The 23722-nt window shown below is 41.3% G+C and overlaps 1 protein-coding gene and 1 pseudogene across 1 annotated transcript in view, besides 3 other annotated features; one reads left to right on the top strand and one right to left on the bottom strand.

Annotated features, from left to right (window-relative positions):
* The window catches only part of GNA14 (G protein subunit alpha 14), a 225244-nt gene that overhangs the window by 59205 nt on the left and 142317 nt on the right, over positions 1–23722 (top strand). The gene's annotated exons all lie outside the window — the stretch shown is intronic.
* Positions 728–1633: an enhancer, noted in NCBI's record as "H3K27ac-H3K4me1 hESC enhancer chr9:80202401-80203306 (GRCh37/hg19 assembly coordinates)". NCBI's record gives its function as "activates a minimal SCP1, AML or CMV promoter by ChIP-STARR-seq in naive H9 embryonic stem cells {active_cell/tissue: H9 hESC(naive)}" and the evidence as "EXISTENCE:reporter gene assay evidence [ECO:0000049][PMID:30033119]".
* Positions 2962–3853: an enhancer, noted in NCBI's record as "OCT4-NANOG-H3K27ac hESC enhancer chr9:80200181-80201072 (GRCh37/hg19 assembly coordinates)". NCBI's record gives its function as "activates a minimal SCP1, AML or CMV promoter by ChIP-STARR-seq in primed H9 embryonic stem cells {active_cell/tissue: H9 hESC(primed)}" and the evidence as "EXISTENCE:reporter gene assay evidence [ECO:0000049][PMID:30033119]".
* Positions 8192–8954, bottom strand: NUTF2P3 (nuclear transport factor 2 pseudogene 3; annotated as a pseudogene).
* Positions 13038–13238: a silencer, noted in NCBI's record as "peak7272 fragment used in MPRA reporter construct". NCBI's record gives its function as "represses an SCP1 promoter by STARR-seq MPRAs in K562 erythroleukemia cells {active_cell/tissue: K562}" and the evidence as "EXISTENCE:reporter gene assay evidence [ECO:0000049][PMID:32103011]".

Raw genomic sequence — 23722 nt, 5'->3', positions numbered from 1 at the left:
GATTCCTGGGGCATACAAAAGTGCTGTGATTCCAAGTTTGATTTTTAAAAATACATTGAAGGGTCTGTATGAAATGGAATATAAATAAAGATGGCTTTGAATGCTAATGTCTAAAGCAAACAAACAGTTCTTTTTAGCTGTGCTGGCCCATGGCTTTTAAAAATGTGGCTAGCATGTGAACCCCCAATGTGTCCCAGGCACTTTTAGACAGTGGCAAAAGCAGGTTCCTTCTTTTGAAGAATTTTCTGCGACTGCATGTGTTCAGAGCAACACAGTAAGCACCCAGTATATATTTGTGGAACAGAGAAAGCTGTTAATTCTCTCTGGGAACATCAGAAGGACTTCCTGGGGCTAAGGTGACCTCTGACTCAGATTCAGGTTTGACAGTAGGAGAGTGTCACCTGACAAAGAAGGGGGATTAGCAACTTTTATGCTATGTGTGCTAACCTGCCTTCTAACTTAGATTTTTATATGAAATATATTTTCCTGCTTCCTTGCTCCTCTCTGTTCAGTCTTATCCCTGCTTCTATATCCTCTGATTAAAGGCTTTAAACTTTCCTTCTCTTCTCACCCCGTGACTCATTCAGCTGTCAGACACTTCCTAAGCATCTGCTCTCCAGGCTTCCTTGCTCCTGGGGAAAGCATTGTGCTAAATGTGAAATTCCTGCAGATTTCCTTAGTCATTCTCCATCAGGATCAAGAAATCACCAAGTCCTGCTTGTTACTTTCACATTCTTCATTCAAAATACAGTGCTGAAAAACAGGAAGTATTTTATCAATTAATGTTCTGTGGTTGCAAGCAACAGACACTGGCTAACTGAAGGAAGAAAAGGAGTTCACTGAAGGGGTGTCAGGGTGTGGTGGATGGAGTGATAGCCCCCCAAAGATGTCCCCCTCTGAATCCCTGAAAACTGTGAATATGTTACTTGACATGGCAAAAGGGACTTTGCAGATGGGATTAGGATCTTGAAATCGGGAGAGTGTTCTTGACTATTCAGGTAGAACCAATGTAATACAAGGGTCCTTATAATAAGGGATGCAGGAGGGCCAGAGTCAGAGAAGACGATGTGATGACTGAAGCAGACATCACTGAGACAGGAATTTGAAGTCACTGCTGGCTTTGAAGATAGAGGAAGGGGCCAAAGCCAAGGAAGGCAGATGGCCTTTAGTAGCCAGAAAAAGGCATGGAATGAAGCCTCCCTTAGAGCCTCCAGAAGGAACAGAGCCCTCCAACCCCTAGGTTTTAGGATTTTTGAAATCCAGAACTATGAGAGAATAAATTCGTGTGTGTATACGTGTGCTTGTGTGCATGTGTTTCAATTGCAGTGAAATTCACTGAATAAAAGCAACCATTTTAAAGCAAACAATTCAGCGGCATTTAGTACATTCACAGTACTATGCAAACACTCTATCTAGGACCAAAACATTTTCATCAGCCCAGAAAGAAACTCCATACATACTAGGCATTCGCTCCCCATCCCTTTGTCCCACCTCCCCCAGATAACCACCAATCTGTGTTCTTTCATACTACGGATATTTCATAGAAATCCAATCTTATGTGACTTTTGCGTCTTCTGGCTTCTTTTGCTTGGCAAATATTTTAAAGTTCACCCATGTTGTAGCATGTGCCAGTACCTCATTCCTTTTATGGCTGAATAATATTCCATTGTATATAAATACCACAATAACTTTAGCTATTCATCAACTGATAGATATTTGGGCTGTTTCTACATTTTGGCTATTGTGAATAGTGCTGCTATGAACATGTGAGTATAGATACTAATATGAGTTCCTGCTTTCAGTATTGGGGGTATATATGCTTAGAAGTGGAATTGCTGGGTCATGTGGTAATTCTATGTTTAACTTTTTGAGAAACTGCCAAACTATTTTCCATAACAGCTGAACCATTTTACATTCCCACCAAATAACTGGAATGCATAAGGTTTCCAATTCTCCACATCCTCATCAACACTTGTTCTTTTCTTTTCTTTTTTTTTTAAGTATAGCTATCCAAATGATAACAGGAGCTAGAAAGAAATTATTTAGTCAGATAGTGAAGGTAAGAGAGTCCTTAGTAAGATTTTCCTTTAATAAAAAGCAGCCCCCAAATCATTTATTTTCTATTAAAAAAAAAAAAAAAACCAGCCTGTAAAATCGAGCTGCAGACATATAGGTAAGCAAGTTGGAAGCTTGCACGGGTGAATGCCTGCAGCTGTGCCAATAGGAAAGTGCTACCTGGGGGACCAGGCGTGTTCAACATGGAGGTTCCATCTTCCTTTTTCGGTCAACTACGGGTACCGTAAAGGAACAGGCAACATGGCGCTGGCCAGGTAGAGAACCTATCTGCATAATAAAAGGTTAGGGTGGGGTGGCCAGCTTCTTCACGCACTATGTAAATGACACACCTGGTCCAACCAATTTTTGGGCCCTATGTAAATCAGACACCGCCGCCTCAAGCTCATCTGTGCACTTTGCCACGGACTAGAAGGCCCACTTGGCCGCCCCTCTGTGTGCAGGAGAGAGAGCTGTTCTCTTTCTTTCGCCTATTAAGCCTCTGCTCTTAAACTTACTTCTTGAGTGTCCGTGTCCTTGATTCCCTTGGTGTGGGACAACAAACCTCGGGTATTTACCCCAGACAACTATGCCACTTTATTAGTGGGAGTGAAGTAGCACCTCACTCTGAATTGTATTTTCATTTCTCTAATGACTAATGATGTCAAGCATTTTTTCATATGCTTGTTGACTATATATCTTTATTGAGGAAATTTCCATTTTTTGACCTTTTTTAAAAAATTGGGCTGGTTATCTTTTTGTTGTTGTGAGAGATCTTTATATAGTATGGATATGTATGAAAAAAGAGCTCTTTATATATTTTGGATGCTAGACCCCTAATTGGTGCTCTTTTAAGCCACTGAGTTTGTGGTAATTTGTTATAACCAATTTGTGGGAAGGATGCTCTGGGGTTCTGGATGCCAGGGGTAAGTGATGTATCTGTTCCAGTTTCTTTCAATTCTTGTGTCCTGATTTCAGAGGGGAGCGCGGCTGTTGTAGCCTGGGGAGTGTTTGGCGAACACTCAGGTCAGAACAAGGCAAGCCACTTGATTGTTAGCACCACTAAGACTGCCTGGAAAATAAATAGAAATACTGTTACAGACAGAAGGGCAAACATTCTGGGAAGGCAAAAACAATAATACATTACAGGCATAAGAAGGTAATACTAAATAATAATAAATGAAATCTAACAACATAAAGGTCTAAAAACCTCCCGCAGCCCAAGAGGGAATTCTGGAATTATAAATGAGGAAGATGTAGCAGGGGACAAGCACCAATAAAAACATTTAGGGGATTTATTGGATAGACGTCACAGGCAATATTAGTAGAGGTATACTATCTGAGAAAAGGGAGGTGAGAATCCTGTGCTGCTCTGTGCTGGTCATACCACACTTTAGGTGAGGAATTCCACTTTGTGCTCCATACCTACAGAGGCATATAGGCAAAGCAGGTCACATTCAGAGATGAGAGCCAGGAGGCTGGAATCATGCCATTGGAGTAATGGTCAGAGAAATGGTCACAAGGGTGTTGGGGGAAGTCCAGTTATGGGGAGCTACCCAGGAAAAGCATGGTAAAGAAAGGTAAGGTTTGTTATGCAGCTTTAAGTTGTGCCTTCTTCATTGATAAGAGACTATAGTGAGTCATCCTTCTCTTCCTGGTACCGAGAGGGAGACACCCTTACAAATGGAGATTTTCTTTGTAGATATAAATTTCCCTTACAAAAGGAAACTTCAACTCTGTGTTTGGAACTTCTGTGTCTGTAGTTTCTCAAAATAATCAGCTCAAAATAATTCTTATGCCTAAAAGGAATATTTTGGGATGGGATATTCTGGTCTCCTATGGTCATATTTTGGGGTGGCATATTCTGGTCTCATACGCACTCTTCCCTCTTTAAGATTCTGTGATCCCTCTGTCAGAGGCGTGTGAACCAGAACAACTCCATCTTGAATAGGAGCTGGGTGAAATGAGGCTGAAACCTACTGGGCTGCATTTCCAGATGGTTCGGCATTCTAAGTCACAGAATGAGATAGGAGATTGGCACAAGATACAGGTCATAAAGACCTTGCTGATAAAACAAGTTGCAGTAAAGAAGCCGGCTAAATCCCACCAAAACCAAGATAGCCATGAGTGACCTCTGATTGTCCTCATGGCTACACTCCCACCGGCTCCATGACAGTTTACAAATGCCATGGCAACATCAGGAAGTTACCCTATATGGTCTGAAAAGGGGAGGCATGGATAACTCACCCCTTATTTAGTATATAATCAAGAAATAACCATAAAAATTGGCAACCAGCAGCCCTTGAGTCTGCTCTGTCTATGGAGTAGCCATTCTTTCATTCCTTTACTTTCTTAATAAACTTGCTTTCACTTTACTCTACGGACTCACCCTGAATTCTTTCTTGCATGAGATCCAAGAACCCTTTCCTGGGGTCTGGATCTGGACCACTTTCCTGTAACACCTCCCTGCCCCTTGGCATCATCTGAGTTTGGGCTTGCTGGCTCTTCCTGCTACCACTTCAGCTGAAATATTGGTTGGGGTGGTGGGGGGTGGGGGGTAAGTCACAGGACTGGAGACAGGATGGGTTGGGAGGGTAGAGGCTAGGGATGTTTATTCTCTGGTGAAAGGAAAGGCAAGCTAGTGGTATAGAACAGTGGTCTCCAAACTTTGATTGCACACCCCATCAGTAAAATAATGTTTGCATATGTACTCTTCAAATTGGGGATTATTACTTTAAAATCATAAGCATATACTATTTTCAGATGCAATATACTATCAAGGTCATCATTAAAGATGACTATAAGCCTATATTCCAAATAATCTTTATTATCATTTTGAACTGCTAGACCACCTTTGAATGGTAGAGGTAGATTCTTAATGTTACCTTTCGCAGTTTCTTGGCACTGTTTAGGCAGTAAACTGAATGGGAATGAACAAGTGAGTCCACTGCTGTCTACTGCTCTGAGTTGCAGAATTTTATTTTTGCCCTTGTCTCAGTATTCCTTTTCACACATTCTCTGTTGGGAGGTCATCTGACAGACCAAGTGAGGTTAGCTGTGTTTGTTGAGATTTTATATTTTTAGACAAATATAACCTAAAATTCAGATACTTTATTCCTGCAGATCAATGGAGCATCGTGTTTGTCCCTTGGGTGACATCTTTTGGGTCCACTAGTGGAGGAGTAGGACCTTGCTACTCCAGCAGTGGTCCTCCGAGCTGAGGCAATGGCTTTGGCTGGGGGTGTGTTAGAAATGCTGACTTGCAGACCACACCCCAGATGTACTGAGTCAGACTCTGCATTTTTAACAAGATCCCCAGGTGGTATGCACAGAAAAGTTTTAGAAACATTAGTTTAGGGGCTGATCAAGGATTTTTTGGAGTGGGGGAGTCGGTTAGAGGGCTGAAAGCTTGGAGAAGAGATGATGGGGATCTCATCTCAAGCTTGTAGACACAGGAGTTAGGCTGTTCAGTGTCTCTCACACATACACTCAGAAGTAGGTCAGTAAAGAGTCAAACAGAAATCATCTGAAAAGAGTTTTAAAAAGTCCCAACCTCTTAATCAAGGAGAACATAAAACGAGTAAAATTCCAAACAGTTTTACTGGAACTTCATGAACTTCCAGAGAAATCCTTTGTTTTGGAATCTAGAGTCAGAGGAGTCCAGATTCCTTGAATTGGGGTTTTCTGTTGCCAGAGCTTTTCCACATTTCCCAGCTGCTTGCTATTTATCTGCCTTTTTAGCTGAAGCTCTCATGACCTCGGGTGTAAATTTAATGCTTTCTTGTCTTCCTTGATTGTTTTCTTCTCTGTTCCCAGCCCCTTATATCCGAACTCAGTCTTTAATGTCTGGCTTGCATTTCCTGATCAGATTCACAAAACAAAGACTGCGTTATCTCATTTGTTGGGGGAGAATTAGCCCAATTAGAGATAGGGTGAAGTTCTTGTGCCTATCCCAAGACCTCTGAGCTTTGCACCAGTGAGTGCTGCTGGGAAGTGTCTGAGCACTGCCTTCTGTTATATTTGCAGTTTGACCGACAATTTCAGATGCTAGCACTGCATTCATCACTGGGGATCTTGATTTAACATAGCTGGGTACAGGTGTGAAAATCAAGCCTTGCCAGTCAGAGTGAGGTTTCCATTAATCAGTCAATGGTTTTTGAGTGTCTCCTGAAGACTTCCCAGTTCCCTGAGCAGAGAAAGATGAGCAAGACCAGGCCCTTGACTTTACAGAGCTCAATGTCTTGTGGCAAATACAGATATACAGACCTATGTTAGGCAAGCACAGATACGTAGGCAACAACAGGAGGTGTTGCACAATGTATCTGTGATTGCCTGCTATCAGTCTGTATATCAGACCGATGACAGGAGGTGTCAAGTCATATGACTGGAACAAATGATTAAATCTTGTGGCAGCTGGGATGAGGGAGTGAAGGGGGTTGTGTTTGAAAAGTTCAGAAATATTTATCTGGTGGACTGGAGAGAAGTGAAAAAAATTCAGATAGATATAACCACTTATGCAAAATGGGCATGCAAATTGTCGTTGAGTGATGGCAAACTGTAAGTTCAAAGTAATGGACAAGATCTCAGGGGAGGCAGGTGGACAGCAGTTAAGGAGATTGGACTCTATCCTGGCGGTCAGTGTTTCTCAAGCAGGGTTTACCTGCCTGGTGGAAAGCAGTAGGGGAGGGGGAGAGGTTGGTAAAGTTGTAGAGGATAGGGATGAAGGTGGAAGGCTAGTGAGTTACACCACAGAAAGGAAAGCACACCACTGAGGGCCCACTGAAGTTGTGAACTTATAACTGAGTAGCAGCACAAACCTAAAATATTCTGCAGTTCCTTTGGGGTTTTCTTGTGCCAAGTGGGATCAATCCAGGATTGGAAGCGTTCTTGCCTTGGGTGGACAAATACTGGGAGGTGAAAGTAAAGTGTTGCTGAAAGGGCATTACAATGATAGGACACATGATCCAGGTTGTGGATGAAAGAAAATGAAAATGGAGAAAAAATAATTTGTGAAACAATGGAGGCTCCAAGGAGCCCAGGGTGTTTATGAGCTTCAGGGAGCTGGATTGAGCTGAAGTTGTGATTGAAGAGAAGGGTGTTACAATTTAAGAGTTGAGAATAGGAAGCTTCCTGTTGATGTCACGGTTCTGAGGTTCCAGATTTTTCATGCACCTCTTCCTCTGTGAATCAAGCTTGGCCCGTCCTCCCTGTATTTATTTAAGGTGGCAGAGGAGAGCCACCAACAGATGAAGTTGGATGATGAGAGATGATGAGAAGCATCCACAGGAATGTGGACTGGATGATTGTTTCTTCTGGGCATTCAGCTACCCTGGGTCCTAAGGATTCTGTGACTGGGCCAAACTTGAGATACAACTTCAGTGACCTGCCTTGTTTATCAAGCATTTACTTCCTAAAAGGATCCGATTGGGGTAATTTTACCAATGTCCGAACCAGAGTCTTTTGCACCAAAATTCCCTTGAAAGTTGACCTCCCTTATGTCCGGCCACTGTGTAGTTGTCTCGGACTTGGATCTGAATCCAGGGCAATCATGTGTGGCAGAAAACATGTCATAGCAGTTTGGATGTGCCAGGTACATTGACTCACGTTATCTTTACAACCACATGATGTAGGTACTATGGTTATCTTCATTTTACATATGAGGAAACCAGGGCACAGAGAGGTTAGAAGATTTGCCCATAGCTAGGAAATGGTGGTGCCAGGAGGTCTGGCTATGGACTCTATGCTGTCAACCTGTTAGCTCCCTCTGAAAAGAACTGATTCCAAACATAATTCTTACAAGATGGCAGCAAGCTTCATGGTTTCCTCTTGCAGCCTGTCTCAGCCTAGCACATAACTAAGGTTTCATGTGGTCCCGGTAAATGGGACTCCTTCCACTCCCACATCTCCCTGCCCGTAAACACACCCTGCAAAAAGTCTATGAGAACTGCAGATAGATCTAGTTATCTTTAGGGTGACCAAGTCATTTATAATTCAAACTGAGATAGTCTGAGTAAAGGTGGGTACTATTGTGTGTGTGTGTGTGTGTGTGTGTGTGTGTGTGTGCCTTTATTGTATCTTTAAGCATTGAAACTTCTGAAGAAATCAATGGGCAGTGAGGCAGCTGCTTTTTCCTTCACTTCTTTGGGTTACTAGAGCAACTCGTCAGTAGATTCTTTTAAAAGATTACCTTTTGTATTACTTGCATGCACATGTATTACTGAGGCATGCACTGGTACAATACAGACTTCTCTCATCAGGTGCAACTAGTCTAGCATCCAAACATCATGCACAACACCTTGGTGGCAGCAGCACACTGTGCACACTCCCATCGTGGCCCTGCTCATTTGTGTATGATATTTGGAGCATCTGGAGGAGTACGAATAGTATTGGGAAGAGGTGTGAGGAGGAAACAGTGTGAGTGCCTGGCTGAGAGGAGGTCAGCCGAAGTGAGCAGGGCAAGCCTGAACATGTCATTGGTGCAAACCCAAGCTTCACTGATATTCTTTAATAGGAACATCTGGTGGAACCCGATGATGGGGTCTTCATCTACCTTAAGCTCACCCACAACCATGCTGATGATGCAGCTATCTGGTGTGGGCTAATTGTCCTGTGCCTGTGATGCTGTACTGGATTTTCTGGAACAGAAGGCTAGACAACTTCTCCACAATGGCAGCTTTCCCCTGTCATTGCTGTCCTTCCCACCTAAGGCATGACGCGTCAATGTAAATTGTACCTATTCGGGTTGTATCTTTATCAAATAACTGGTAGTAATGTTGAATGAAGCTGGATTCAGTTTGCTTCCAAATCAGCTTATCTCCCATTCTGGAGCATCACCTGGCCTTGCAGAGACCCAAGGGGCTGGCACTATGGCGGCAGTGGCAGCAACAACCCAGTGTGGTTTGTGACCCAAGTGGGCACTATTGAGAGTTATGCTTGCATAATGGGCACAAACTAGGACTGTTCTAGACAAACCAGGACATACAGTCACCCTGGTTATGTGCTATATATTAAATGAGAGTGGAAGGAAGCTACAAGTGGGCCGGGAATATTTCCAACCCACCTAAAAATTGCCAGAAGAAGGCAAAAATTCCCAAAACCCTGGCTCATAATAGGTTCTTAATAGATTTTGAATGAATAAATGACTAGATTCAAGTGTGCTCCCAAGAGGAATGTGGAGAAGGATAGAAATGAATCAACTAGCAAGGGGATTGGTGGCAAGGAAGGGGCATCACTGGAAAGTGTAAAAACTCACTCTTACAATAGCAGTAATTTCTGTCCAAGCACTTCACAATTGAACAAATTAGGACTTGCCATTGACTTAAATAAATGAGTCAGCAGACCTAAGGGAAACGAAATCGATCCCATTTTTGCATCTTGGTGAGACTGTCGTTGAAATGTCTATATGGGGGGAAATGTAGAGTCTATTTGGCATGCCTATAGAAAGTAACCTTAAATGGCTGAAGGAAGAACAATGGGTCTGTGAAAAGCCCAAGACCAGGGACTTGCAGACATCAAGATTTCCTTTGAATTTGCAAAGTTAACATCACTTTATAAAACTGGAGCAACTAGATTTTGGGGAAATTAAAAGAATGTGCCTCAAGGTCATTGACTGATCATGAAACCAGAACCAGTATCAGCTCGGACAAGCAGCTGGTCTCTGGTTCCAAATCTTTGTCTATTGTTGGGGAAGGGCAGGACTTGAGGCAACCCCTTCCCTACACATACGCGCCCTGCAGAGAGCATTTATTCCCAGTAGCCTGTGGGTATGGGTGTTTGTTGGCAATGTCTTCTCATCTGAAGACAGTTGTCAACTCCACCTGCTCTGCTCCTTCACATTCAGTTGTGCCCAGCCTTAGAGTGAAGGCCCCTTATTTGTTCCCAGTGCCTGAGGGCCAGTCACATGCTCCAGTATTCCAACTTTATAGGTGTGACATAGGGTGGGACTGATGCCCTAGATCTCAGAGATCCTGGGTAGAGACATCCTCATCCCATCTCGGGCAGCTCACTGCCAGCCTCCCATGGCTAAATGGCCTGGAGAATAGAGCAGAGGCAGTGGCCCAGCAGTTGCCCAGATGTCATAGCCAGCATCACCTTATAGTCCGAGATAAGGGCCACAGCATTGGTTAGGCCCACAAGTCTGTGTTTTGGATGCCCATCAAGTGGAAGGCCTTATCATTAATGAAGACTGGATCTCAGTATTCTAGGTGCACTTACAGTCTCTGCCCCTCTTACCCAGCTGGTTCATTCCCTTTTCCAGTAATGAATCCTCTTTGTATTTGAAGCCTACCTCTTCATAGGGACAAAATTTGTGCGGAAATGAGGTTTCAACCAAACTACAATATGGGAAGTATGAGGTTAAGGTTTTAAGTGGGATAAATGTTTCAAGGACAGTCTCTAAACCAAGGCTATGAAAAGATTTGCATGAAAATATTTTCTGTATCTTCATTCAATTTTTTAAATTTTATGAGTTTTAAGACATATGGTGCTCATCTATATCTCAAGGTTGTAGCAACCTGTGACTAAACATGTCCTTTTCTAGTTCCAGATTGATATTTTTCAATATTGTATCTATTCCAATAGTTGACTCATATTGGAAGCACAATATCAAACAAGCTCTAAACAAGTTTTTCAAGCAATATAAAACTGTCATTGGCCCTAGATATAATAGAGTTTTCTAGAGTTATGTGAGAGACTGAAATCACAGGGCCACTGATGCAGGGCAGGCCCAATGATCCTCAGATAAAAGGCAAGCAAGACTTAATCTTTTAGTTTGTTTGTTTTTGTTTTGTTTGAGACGGAGTCTCACTCCATCACCAGGCTGGAGTGTAATGGCACGATCTCGGCTCACTACAACCTCCGCATACCAGGTTCAAGCGATTCTCCTGCCTCAGCCTTCTGAGTAGCTGGGACTACGGGTGTGTGCCACCACGCCCAGCTAATTTTTGTATTTTTTTAGTAGAGACGGAGTTTCACCATTTCACCATGTTGGCTAGGATGGTCTCGATCTCTTGACCTCGTGATCTGCCCGCCTCAGCCTCCCAAGGTGCTAGTATTACAGGCATGAGCCACCGCGCCTGGCCAAGACTTAATCTTGTTGCCATGATCATTCATGGTTTCACTCCACGACCCTTGACCTATTGTCTGTGGGTTCTGATGATGAGTATCTTCATACTGCAGTAATACTAACTCTTAAATGGTGAGATAGGAGTATTTATGATTTCTTTGTTCACTTCCTTAAAAAAAAACATGACTACTGGGAGAAGAAGTTTTGAGGCCATTTGATGGGAAGAGCAATTCCAAAGTACCTCCTGCAACTCCTTCTGTCATCCTCCTTCTCGATTCTACAGAGCCCTCATTGAAAGTGGTCAGTAAACAGGAAGATTCTCAGAGTGTTTAATCTGCAGATGGGGAATATCAGAAGTTTAAGGAGGCTGTGCTAAAATGATTCTCCATGTGTTGATGGTAAACTGTCTCTTGAAAGTCTCTTTGGTGAACAGAAGTCATGTCTCACTGATGACAGTGCTAGAGGGAGGGCTGCCCCACCCTTGTAGGATGATCAGATGTGTTTGTTTTTGAAAGCATCTTGACCTGAATCCACTAAGACTTGAGTTTATGAGACCCACTTGTTAAATATCGATATAGATGGAGGATAAAGCCAGTTCTGAGAGCTGAACTCTATTTTATTGTTATACTAACCAAATTGGTAAAGCTCTGAACTTTCATTTAGGGGAACATAGGATTGATCTGGAATTCATTCTTTAGAATGTACAGTATGTAAGAAAATACAGGGCAGTAACTTACTCTCCTTTCCCCCAAAGCAGTAAATTCAGGTGTCCAAGCTCATTTAGCTTGGTTGTAAGTAAAATGAATTCTTGAGTAATTTTAATTTGGGATGAGAGACTTTTTTCCCCACAAACTCTTCTGTGGATCTGCATATTAGCAAGCACCTCTGGTGTCTAGCCTAAAGCCCTTAATTTTTAATTGCTTGCAGAAAATAGGAGTATAACTGTTTCAAAGGGTGTTTCCATGTGTTTTATTAGATTTCTGTGCATGCACATACTACTACCTCATGGAAAATGCTAGAGGTTAGCAAGGAAGAGGCATAAATTTCTGAGCTATTTGCTGATAAGGTGGGGTTCAAATATTTGACATTTTCAGGTTAGCATATGAGGCTCATATTTTCATAATGTCGTATGTCATTTACCCTGGAAAATATTTGCTGTGTTTCTGATAACACTCATAAATTGGGAAAGGTGTATAGCATTCTTTTTTTTTTTAACCTTTTAACCGTTTGTTACCAAGTCATTGCTGGATGAATCATGGAACATAGAGCATCTCCGTAAAATTTGAGGAAATGAGTATAGGTTTTCAGACCTAAAATAATAAATTACTGACTGGGCAACTTAATTGTGATAATGATGTAAGGAATGTGGAGGGAAAGGTGGGAAACATTAACCTCTTGGCCATATCTAATCATTAGAGTTCCCTGACACCATGTTAACCCATTTTTTATGAAGCTACACAAATGCATCAACTGAAACTCTTCAGTGGTAGTATTGTTATATAGCATAAGATGAAGATGTTACTCTTGAAATAGGCTTTTCCTCAAAAAAGTCACTCTATCTTCTTAGAAAAACAAAACTATAAACACTATGCTTTCGATTTTTTAGATGGGATGTAAAAATTTAGATGTTTTTAAAAATTATTCAGTATTCGGTACACTATCATCAGCTAAAAATAAAAATATGTGGATTTATCAAGAGCTCAAGTCATAACTATCTTTATTTTTGCCCTATCCGATCACTGGACAAACAGCAAATTACCCTCTCTTTCAACGTCTTTCTCTTCTCCCTGACCCTCCCTCACCATATCCCTCAATCTCTCTCCCTTAACAAGCCATGATATTGAACTGAAAATCCATAGGAATATAGTTCTATGATTAGCAGTATATTTATGTCTCTTAATTTAAAAACATGCAACCATAGAAGATTTTATATGTTAATATTATAAACAATAATAAATGCTCACCATGGTTACTAATAAATTCATTGCAACAACATTTCAGCACCATGGATAGCACCAGCGGTGCAGCTTCTACCCCCTTCTCCTGAAACCCCTTTTTGGTCATGCCACCTCTGGTCTGGTGAGGAGGTTTAGGGATGGCTGTGTTGACACAAAATGGCAGTTCTTATACTTGTCTTCTTGTTAAAATCACATGAAGAACTTCAAATATCCCCAAGTTCAGCCCCCGACAACTCAATCAATTAAATCAGAATATCTGAGGTGGGTCTTAGGCACTAATACTTTTTAAAGGTTTTCAGACTTAAAACCAATAGAAAATGGTAATTTGTAGGAGATGAGATGGATTTACGTCTAAAATAGAACTTGTCAACCTTAACTGCCTTTAAGAATTACCCAGCTTGTTTAAAAACAAAATCATTGTCTGGGCCTGTCTTCAGACATTATAACTCAATTGGCCTGAAATAGGAGACCGATATCAGTAGTTTAAAAAAAATCTTCAAGTAATTTTTAATTTACAAGCGTTAATAAACATTTACTATCAAGTAAGACCTGGAAGTAAATTTTTTTCATGTGGAAAGTTTAGGTAAATTTGATATCTCAATAAGAACCTTTCATTCTAGAAGGAAGTAATGTGTAATGTCTAGTTTTCTTTCTTTTTTTTGAGATGGAGTTTCACTCTTGTTGCCCAGGCTGGAGTGCAGTGGCGCGATCTCAGCTCACTGCAACGTCCGCCTTCCAGGTTCAAGCTGTTCTCCTGCCTCCGCTTCTGAGTAGCTGGGATTACAGGCATGTGCCACCATGCTCGGCTAATAATGTCTAGTTTTCATGACATTGGAGTTGAAATTGAGAAACTTGTATTCTAGCCAGATATGAAGTCAAATGGGGCCATACCAGCTACCTTCCGCTCCTTGTCTGGGTCAAAGCCCCAACTCTGGAAACTGAGTAAGGGTATGAAGCGTGAAATCATTATCTTGTGTCTCCAGCTGTACTTAGCAATTTCAAACTATCCTCTAGAAAAGTTTCCTTGGCAACCTTATTTACTTCCCCCCTACAGGGTAGACATCTGGCTGATTTACTCTTCTACAGAAAGTTGGGTGTGAGGCAGCTAACAGTTAGTGCTCGCCAAGTTTTCCCACTTCCCTTGCACTTATTTTAGAGCCATGTGACTCCAAGGAGAGAGTGTCATCTGGGACAAGGCACATAAGACTCCCCTGTTTCTCTTCTTTTGTTGTAGCAATGTTGGAGGCCACATGTCACAGATAGCATAGCTGCAGCATGGAGGAAGGTTGCCTGCCTGACTGAGTGCAAATAAGCAAGAAAAATATTATATTAAGCTACTGAGATTCCAGAGCTTGCCTGATGTGATGGCTACTGTTAATTATACCTAATGAGCCTCTCAAAGATGAACAAATATTCCTGACAGTGTCAGTTGATGAGAATCCTTGTTTCTACCCATTTTAAGTGAAAAAAGAAATGTATTTACATTAATCCTCATATTCCTACACATTTAAAATGCAAGGAGAAACAGTATATGTAATATATGAATTTCAAGTTGCAGAAATATTTTTTATTCCATTGGTCATCATTAGCTATAAACTACTGTCTGTATTTAATCACCCCTCCAGACCCATGGCAGTCCGGGAAGGAAGGAAACACAAATCTTGATTGCATTTGAAATTACCACACAAACAACTTCTTTAATTTTGAAGTAAACCACTGAAAGTAATGATCTCTCTAGACTTTACTTTGCCTTTTTCTTCACACTTGAAATACCGTCAAGGTGCAGCTTGATTGTCCTGTTGCTGAGACTGCTTTCAGTGTCATGCTCTTGCTTATATTCAGTGGCAGCTTGCCTCACTGTGTTTCCTGTAGGTCCTCTCTCTTTTTTGCTTAATTTTAATTTTAGAGACAGGCTCTTGCTATGTTGCCCAGGCTGGTCTTGAACTCCTGGCCTCAAGCGATCCTTTCTCCTCAACTTCCCACAGTACTGGAATTACAGATGCATGGCATGATACCCATATCTTTTTTTAAACATAAATTTTGTTGTGGCTATTTGAGGTTTACAAAGTGAGGTTATGGGGTGTATAGAGATACATAGATACTTGTAGATACATATGAATAATACAATGGTTACTCTTTTTCTAAGCTCCTTATATGCCACCTTCTCTCCTGACCCTCTTCTTCTCTAAGGTGGAGTTAGTCACATGCCAACACTAAAGTTTCCCCCAACCTCTGGTCTAATAACCACAGAGAAGCAGACAGAAGTTATAAAAACAAAGGGTAGTGCTTAAGCAGTACAAAAGTCTAATTGCGTTTGGCCACTGTCTTTGAACTTTGTGATGATTCTTGACCCTTGTCTAGCATCCTAGTCCATGGTTAGAGATTTTGGTGCAAGATTTCCCCTCAGTGTATTGCTCATCCTTTGCCTTCCCTCCTTCCACTGTCACACCATCATGAAGCCTGCAGATGCCCTGGAGAAAATTAGCCAGCTTATCTCTTGAGCGCAGATCAGTTGTGTCCTAGTGGAAGCTGAAACCTAGATTTTTATTTATTTATTTATTTATTATTTTTAAATTTTTATTTATTTATTTTTTTGAGACGGAATGTCACTTTGTTGCCCAGGCTGGAGTGCAGTGGTGCAGTCTCGGCTCACTGCAACCTCCGCCTCCTGGGTTCAAGCGATTCTCCTGCCTCAGCTTCCTGAGTAGCTGGGATTACAGGTGCCTGCCACCATGTCTGGCTAATTTTTGTATTTTTAGTAGAGACAGGGTTTCACTATGTTGGCCAGGCTGGTCTCAAACTCCTGACCTCGGGTGATCCACCTGCCTCAGCCTCCCAGAGTGTTAGGATTACACGCGTGAGCCACCGCACCCTGCCTGAAACCTAGATCTTTACTTTTAATGCTCCCCTCTCCTGCAACCCAACATCTTTGATGCAGAAAAATTAACAGATTATTCTCTGAAAGCATTCAAGGATTGATAAAAGTAACTTTCAAGCAGAGTATTAAAGTGACCTATAATCTCATTTTAGCTGAGGTAATATCACTAAATATTTAGCGTCGACAGTATATTGTTGGCTTATTAGTCATAGTTTATTTCTGCAAATCCTAATCAGCTAGTTCTATTGACCTGTGCTATCTACCTGTAATATTATCTCCATGAAGCCACAATGGAACATTTAGTAAATTATTGCTATAACTCATTAAACTATAACCCCAAAGCATTCAGAGCATCCTAATTGGATCTGGCCTGACCTGATTTAAAAATGTACAGAGTCCCCAGGAGGCACACAGACACCAAGTTTTTGCAAGATTTTCAAGGCATAGGATGATGTTTAGGCTCATTATTGCTTAATATATTTAATTTCTTTGATAGACTTGATTACCTTGGCTAATTCAAACTAATTTGTTGTATTTGTTGCTAGTTAATTTTAGTTTCTAATTGCAGATTGTGAGTCTGACATAAATATTTTTAAAAACTGGATCACAGGTCACAGATCAGTTTATTACACATTGAAACAAAGCTTCTCTTCTAAAATACCTTTTGGGGCCAATTTGGAATTTGTGTCTTTTTATGTATTCTATAAAACTATGATGGATATATGATATTTCCTTTCATTTTATGAAAGAAAGGAGAAAAAAGAAATGTCTAAAGGTAGGACTGACCCAAGAAAGGAAGAATGGAAGATTTGTCTGGATAAGTTTTTGGATATTATTTCTCAGTCTACATAATTCCATTGATGCATTTTATAATTCTTCTTCCCTACGTGTTAGGTCTCTGTTTCTTTCCTTAGATCTTTTCTTGGAAAACACTTTTGTTGTCACTGTGATTGCCCTTCTTTTAGTTCCTTATAACTCACAGGCCAAAAAATCATCCACTGTCAATAAAGACAAACTTGTAATTTGCAAGATTACTTGACTTTTCTTCTTAACCTGGGAATTTTTCATGGGCCTTTCTATTCACCCTGTTCAGAGTTCTCCCCAAATCCTTGGTCTCAGCCACCACTCTCTTTCAGTTGCTCCTCAATTGAAATCGCTAGAAACCAACATTTACACAATGTAAATACACTGAAGTGAAAACACAGATTCTCTTATGAGCAGCCAGTTGGTGGAAAAAAAAAGATGAAATTAATTTTAGTAATATATGTTTATTTAACCCAATATATCAAAAAAATTATCATTTCAACATACACTTAATATAAAAATTAATGAGATATTTTACACTCTTAAAAATAATAAGTCCTTAAATGCCTGTGTATTCACAGCACTTAACCTTTTTTTTTTTTTTTGAAGGCAGAGGTTTGCTCTTGTTGCCCAGGCTGGAGTCAAGCGATTCTCCTGCCTCAGCCTCTCGAGTAGCTGGTATTACAGGCATATGCCACCAAGCTTGGCTAATTTTGTATTTTTAGTAGAGACAGGGTTTCTCCATGTTGGTCAGGCTGGTCTTGAACTCCTGACCTCATGTGATCTGCCCGCCTCGGCTTCCCAAAGCACTTCCCTTTTTAATGATAAGTTTTTGAAATCTGGTGTGTATTTACAGTACTTCCCAAACCAAACTAGCCACATTTCAAGTGCTCAACAGCCACATGTGGTTAGTAGGCACCATATTGGATGACATAGTCTTAGAGCATTGATTTAAGATATTCTTCCATACACTACAAATAAGACCCTCTTAAATCCCACTTATCCCAAAATATCTTCAAGATTTCCTCTGTCAAAATTTAACTCCAACCCCTCCACAGTACTTAGAAAAATTCCTCTTATTGAGAACTTATCTCAGCCTTACTTGTGTTCAAATATTTATATATTTATCTGTCTCAGAGATTATGAACTCATAGAAGGTACATATTATCCTTTGCTCATCTTTGAACAATAGCATAAGAGTGTGGAGGAAAATTGGATTTTGACAGATAACTGACTCAGGTTTAAATGCTACTACTAGCACCATGCAGTTGTGGTAGCTATACAATTCTAGCCCATTTTTTGAACCTCAGTTTTCTCATCTATAAAATAATACCTCTATCATAGAGTACATGAGCATTAAGTAAGGTATGCCTAGCACTTAGTTGGGTCTCAGTAAATAACTTATTATATTGAATGTAAAAGGGCAATTTACTCTATTAAATATGCACATAGATTATAAGTTGTACTCTTATTTCAGAAACATTAAAATTTGAGAGCTCAGATATTTCCAGTGGGAATGTAAAATGATACATCGACTTTAGAAAACACTGTGGTAATTCCACAAAAGGTTAAACATGGAGCTACCATACGACCCAGCAAGGTTACTCCTAGGTATACACCTAAAGAATTGAAACATATATCCACACAAAACTTGTACATGAATGTGCATAGCAGCATTATCCATAGTAGCCAAAGAGTGGAAACAACCCAAATGTCTATAATCTGATGAAAAAATAAACAAAATGTGTGGAATAGCCATAATAGAATATTATTTGGCAATAAAAAATGAAGTACTGATGCACGCTACCAGATAAATAAACCTAAAAAAATTATGTGAATAAAGGAAGCCAGTTATGCATGCAAAAAACACATATATTGCATGATTCCACATATGAAATGCCCAGAATAGGCAAATCTAAAGAGACAAAGTAGATTAGTGTTGCCTGGGCTGCAGTGGTGGGGGCAAGGAGTCACTGCTAATGGGTAAAAAGTTTCTTTTGGGGTTTCTTTCTTTAAAACATGATAAGATGTTCTAAAATGAGATTGTGGTGATGCTTGCACAACTCAGTAAATATATTAAAAACCATTGAATTGTACACATTAAATGGGTAAACTTGATAGTATGTTGATTATATTTCAATAAAGCTGTTAAAATTGGGGGAAATGGTGTTAGAATTAAGTTAATATATATTTATTTGTTTAGTTTAAAGTTAACTTCCTCCAACAAACAATAATGACAAAAATTAATCGAAATACAATTCTTGGTCCTAAAATGTGTGGACATTTTCGCTTCCATGATTTTTGCGTGGTGGCTCATGCCTGTAATCCCAGCACTTTGGGAGGCCGAGGCAAGCGGATCACGAGGTCAAGAGTTCGAGATCAGACTGACCAACACAGTGAAACCCCGTCTCTACTAAAAATACAAAAATTAGCCAGACATGGTGGCACACGCCTGTAATCCCAGCTGTTGGGGAGGCTGAGGCAGGAGAATTGCTTGAAACTGGAAGGCAGAGGTTGCAGTGAGCCAAGATTGTGCCACAGCACTCCTGCCTGGGTGAAAGAGCGAAACTCCGTCTTAAAAAAAAAAAAAAGAAAGAAAGGAAAAGAAAAACATATCCCTACTACCCTCCTCCAAGAGGAGATGGCTCTCTCTTTCACTTTACAGGGGCAGACACAGCCCCTGAAATATTGAACCCGGGGGAGAAACCAAAGCCCCCACATAGCCTGGGCTCTTTCTTCTTTCCACCTTAATTCCTCCCTGGAGCAGCCCCTGTTGGTGGAACTCACTATACCGAGTGGTCTCCTGTGGAGTTGTCTCCCTCTGACCGTTTTGTAAGCTCCTGGGGAGCAGGAGCTGTGTCCATCTTGTTCACAGCCATTTCACAGTTCCCAACACATAGTAGGTCCTCGGGAAACTTGTTGGGCAGGACAGTTCTGGCCCCTCCAGCACTGGAGAGGAGTAGCTGCAGCACATCCAGCAGTATTTTCCTTCTTGAGTTACCAAGTTTGGCCAAATGCCAATGATCTCTCTGCCTATACTGCTGTGCTAATAGGACTGCATCCCCCTGCCCCCCTTGCTAGTTACCATGTCACAACCAGGATCAAGGGAAGAGCATGCTTGAAACATATATTAATAGCAAGAGTAAGTTCAACACACCTTCTGCGGGGAGGGAACCTTTTTTTCCCAACCCCATTTAAAAAAAAAAAAGGCAAAAGAGATTCATGAGGCTGGAGATTCAGTTTAAAATGCATCTGGGGTGGCGGAGCTCTTTAACAGAATAAGAGAAGGCACATATGGGACTTGGGTTTCTCATCAAAGCTGGGCTAAATAGAAAGCTCTTTCTGCCTGGGCATTGAAAAACTTGTCTGATTTGGAGATCCACCTGAAAATATCGAGTAGCAGAGACACCTGCTGATCTCAGACGTGGCATGACAGTCTCTTTCCAAATTGCATCCCATTAGGGGTTTCTGAAGTGCGACTTTACTGTCTCAATTGTATCTTTGCTCCCTCCACAAGACCAGCTGAAGGGGGTTTGCTGAAGGCAGCCCCATCTCCTCTGCAGCCTGCTCCTCAGCTCTGTGGTTGATGAGCAGGACTAACCCAGGGAGTGCCCCCCTGTAAATTCCGAGAGACTTCACCATCCCTGTACCACCTTGTGCACCCAGGAAAGCCCAGTCAGCCTTTCCTCCTCAGGTTAACTGTTGTGAGGGGCTCTGCCGTCCCCACCAGCAGATTCCATGCCACAGATTTGCCAGATCCGAATTTGCATTTCTGAATCAAAATTTGGATTTAACTTGTATACTTTTTTACCTGGGTAACTTTTTTAATAGTTAACATTCTTTCTTTCTTTCTTTCTTTTTTTTTTTTTTGAGATGGAGTCTCTCTCTGTCACCCAGGCTGGAGTGCAGTGGCATGATCCCTGCTCACTGCAACCTCCACCTCCTGGGTTCAAATGATTCTCCTACCTCAGCCTCCCGAGTAGCTGGGATTACAGGCATGTGCCACCACCCCTGGCTAATTTTGTATTTTTAGTAGAGGGAGATTCTACATTCCCACTGGAAATATCTGAGCCCCCAAATTTTTGGTTTCACCATGTTGGCCAAGCTGGTCTTGAACTCCTGACCTCAAGTGATCCCCCCACCTCGGCCTCACAAAGTGCTGGGATTACAGGTATGAGCCACTGCCCCTGGCCAGTTAACATTCTTTAAGCAGTATTTGAGCTATGCTAGGTGAGCCAGGACCTGCTCTGGGAGCTGCAGGTAAAGTGATAAACAAGAAAGACTACTCTGTCTCAGGGAGCTTACCACCCACCCCACCTCTTTCTTTCTAGTCTTCCTTCCTCCTCCTCTTCCTCCCTACCTCTGTAAAACAAATTATTTAGAATCTTTTGGGCCAAACATAGGCAAGTCAATAAATATCATTTTAGAACAAGATACGGTGAACATTATCACAAACTTTTGCTGGCCATAATGGAATACTTGTTTTTTTGTTTTTGAGACGGAGTCTCTCTCTGTCACCCAGGCTGGAGTACAGTGGTGCAATCTTGGCTCACTGCAACCTCCGCCTCCTGGGCTCAAGCGATTCTCCTGTCTCAGCCTCCTGAGTAGCTGGGACTACAGGCGTGCACCACCACGCCTGGCTAATTTTTGAATTTTTAGTAGAGACGGGGTTTTGCCATGTTGGCCAGGCTGGTCTTGAACTCCTGACCTCAGGTGATCCATCCACCTCGGCCTCCCAAAGTGCTGGGATTACAGGCGTGAGCCACCACACCCAGCCGGAATATCTTTACCCTGGAAAACTGCCCCACAAGCATTTTTTTTAAAACTTGTGGAAGAAAATGGTGACTAGTTAGAATTAACTGTAATTATTTGTAGCTCTCATCTTATTTTGCCTGCTATACTGCATACTGAGAATGAATTCAGGATTCAAATTCACTCCAGGATGATAGTTAAAGTTAGTTCTTTATTGGAAGTTCACAGCAGAGGAGACTGATAAGGGTTAGAATTTACCTAAAGAGGTTATGGCTGTAGAGTATCTTATATTGATATGTCATTAAAAAACCTTGGAACATGAATCATGTTAGTGAAAATTTGCATTTTTGTGAACATGGAAATTGAAAATTGGAGTAGGTCAATAATCTTGCTTCCTAAAGACTAGGTAAAATGTAAATATATGGGAGCAATACATTTTATATTAAGTGTACCTCTGGATTTGCATAACAGATTTAGATATATAATGTATTTCTACTTGCTGATTTGTTTGGCAGGATCATCTCTAAATAATAAATATGCAGTATGTTTGAGAACAGATACTGGGCCCAGGCACATGACTTGTGTTATCAGTTAGTACACATGAAGGTTATTCCAAGGGCAGTATTTTTGGGAAAATAGAGCTTTGGGGCCCTGGGTATATGGCAAATACAAATAATTATTATTATTTTTAATTAGCGTAGCATTTGAGACTATTGAAGTTCACTCTCCTGAGATTCAAATTTTGGCCACAGTTGAAAAGCAGAGAGATATACTGGTCAGTTAGTTTATAAATTAACAATTCCAGGACCCAAAGTGAGTTATGTTCTGGGATCATAAAAGACATTTCATAAAAGGGTGAGGGTAGATTAAAACTTCCAAATATTACTTAAAACTCTAGGACTTAGAGTTGTATTGTCATTCCTGTTGGTGGTTGTACAAACTTATAATATTTAGTGGACATATTGAAGCCTTTCAAACTCTTCTAGCTGGATTTATTTATTTGTTCTTTAAAGATTAATTTGAATATTCTCTTGTCCTGTTGATGGGAGACAACACTGGCATATCCACTCTGAAGGGCAGTTTGGTGTTGTGTATGAACATTTCAAAAGCACAGGCAATTCCATGACTTAAGATCTACCTTTAAGAAGCACTCCTGGTTGGGTGCAGTGGCTCACGCCTATAATCCCTGCACTTTGGGAGGCTGAGGCGGGCAGATCACTTGAGGCCAGGGGTTTGAGACCAGCTTGACCAACATGGCGAGACCCTGTTTCTACTAAAAATACAAAAATTAGCCAGGCATGGTGGCACACGCCTGTAATCCCAGCTACTCAGGAGGCTGAGGCTCAAGAATTGCCTGAACCTGGGAGGCAGAGGTTGCAGTGAGCCAAGACTGCACCACCACACTCCAGTCTGGGTGACAGAGTGAGACCCTGTCTCAGAAAAAAAAAAAAAAAAAAAAAAAAAGAAGCACTCCCACTTGTGGACAAGGATTTATGCTTAACTGGGTTTCTCAACCTCAACCTCAGCACCGGTGATATTTGGGGCCAGCCAGTTCTTTGCTTTGAGAGACTGTCCTGTGCATTGCCAGATGTTTAACAGCAACCCTGGCCTCCACTCAGTGCCAGTTACCCCTCTAAGTTGTGGCCAGAGTGTTTCTTTGCCAGATAGCATCCCATTGAGAACAACTGATGTATAGTAGTGTCCACTGTGGCACTTTTTTTCTTCTGATTTCAGATGAACTGTAAGAAGCCTAAATGCCCATTATTTGGAGCAGACTCATTCAATAGAAATACAATGTTAGCCACATCAGTAATTTCATATTTTCTAATCGTTGCATTTAAAAAGTAAAAAGTGCTGGGCACGGTGGCTCACGCCTCTAATCCCAGCACTTTGAGAGGCCAAGGCAGAAGGATCACTCGAGGCAGGGAGTTTGAGACCAGCCTGGCCAACATAGTGAAATCCCATCTCTACTAAGAATGCAAAAATTAGGCAGGCATGGCGGCGCATGCCTGTAATCCCAGCTACTTGGGAGGCTGAGGCACAAGAATCACTTGAACCCAGGAGGCAGAGGTTGCAGTGAGCCGAGATTGTGCCACTGCACTCCAGACTGGGCAACAGAGTGAGACTCTGTCTCAAAAATAAAGTTTAAAAAAAGGTAAAAAGAAACAGGTGAAATTGATTTAAATATATTTTATTTGACCCAATATATGAAAC

The sequence above is a fragment of the Homo sapiens genome, chromosome 9 (genome assembly GCF_000001405.40).
Source record: "Homo sapiens chromosome 9, GRCh38.p14 Primary Assembly".
Lineage (NCBI taxonomy): Eukaryota > Metazoa > Chordata > Mammalia > Primates > Hominidae > Homo > Homo sapiens.
The sequence above is the reverse complement of the archived record's forward strand: the minus strand, read 5'-3'. Positions and strand labels throughout refer to the sequence as shown.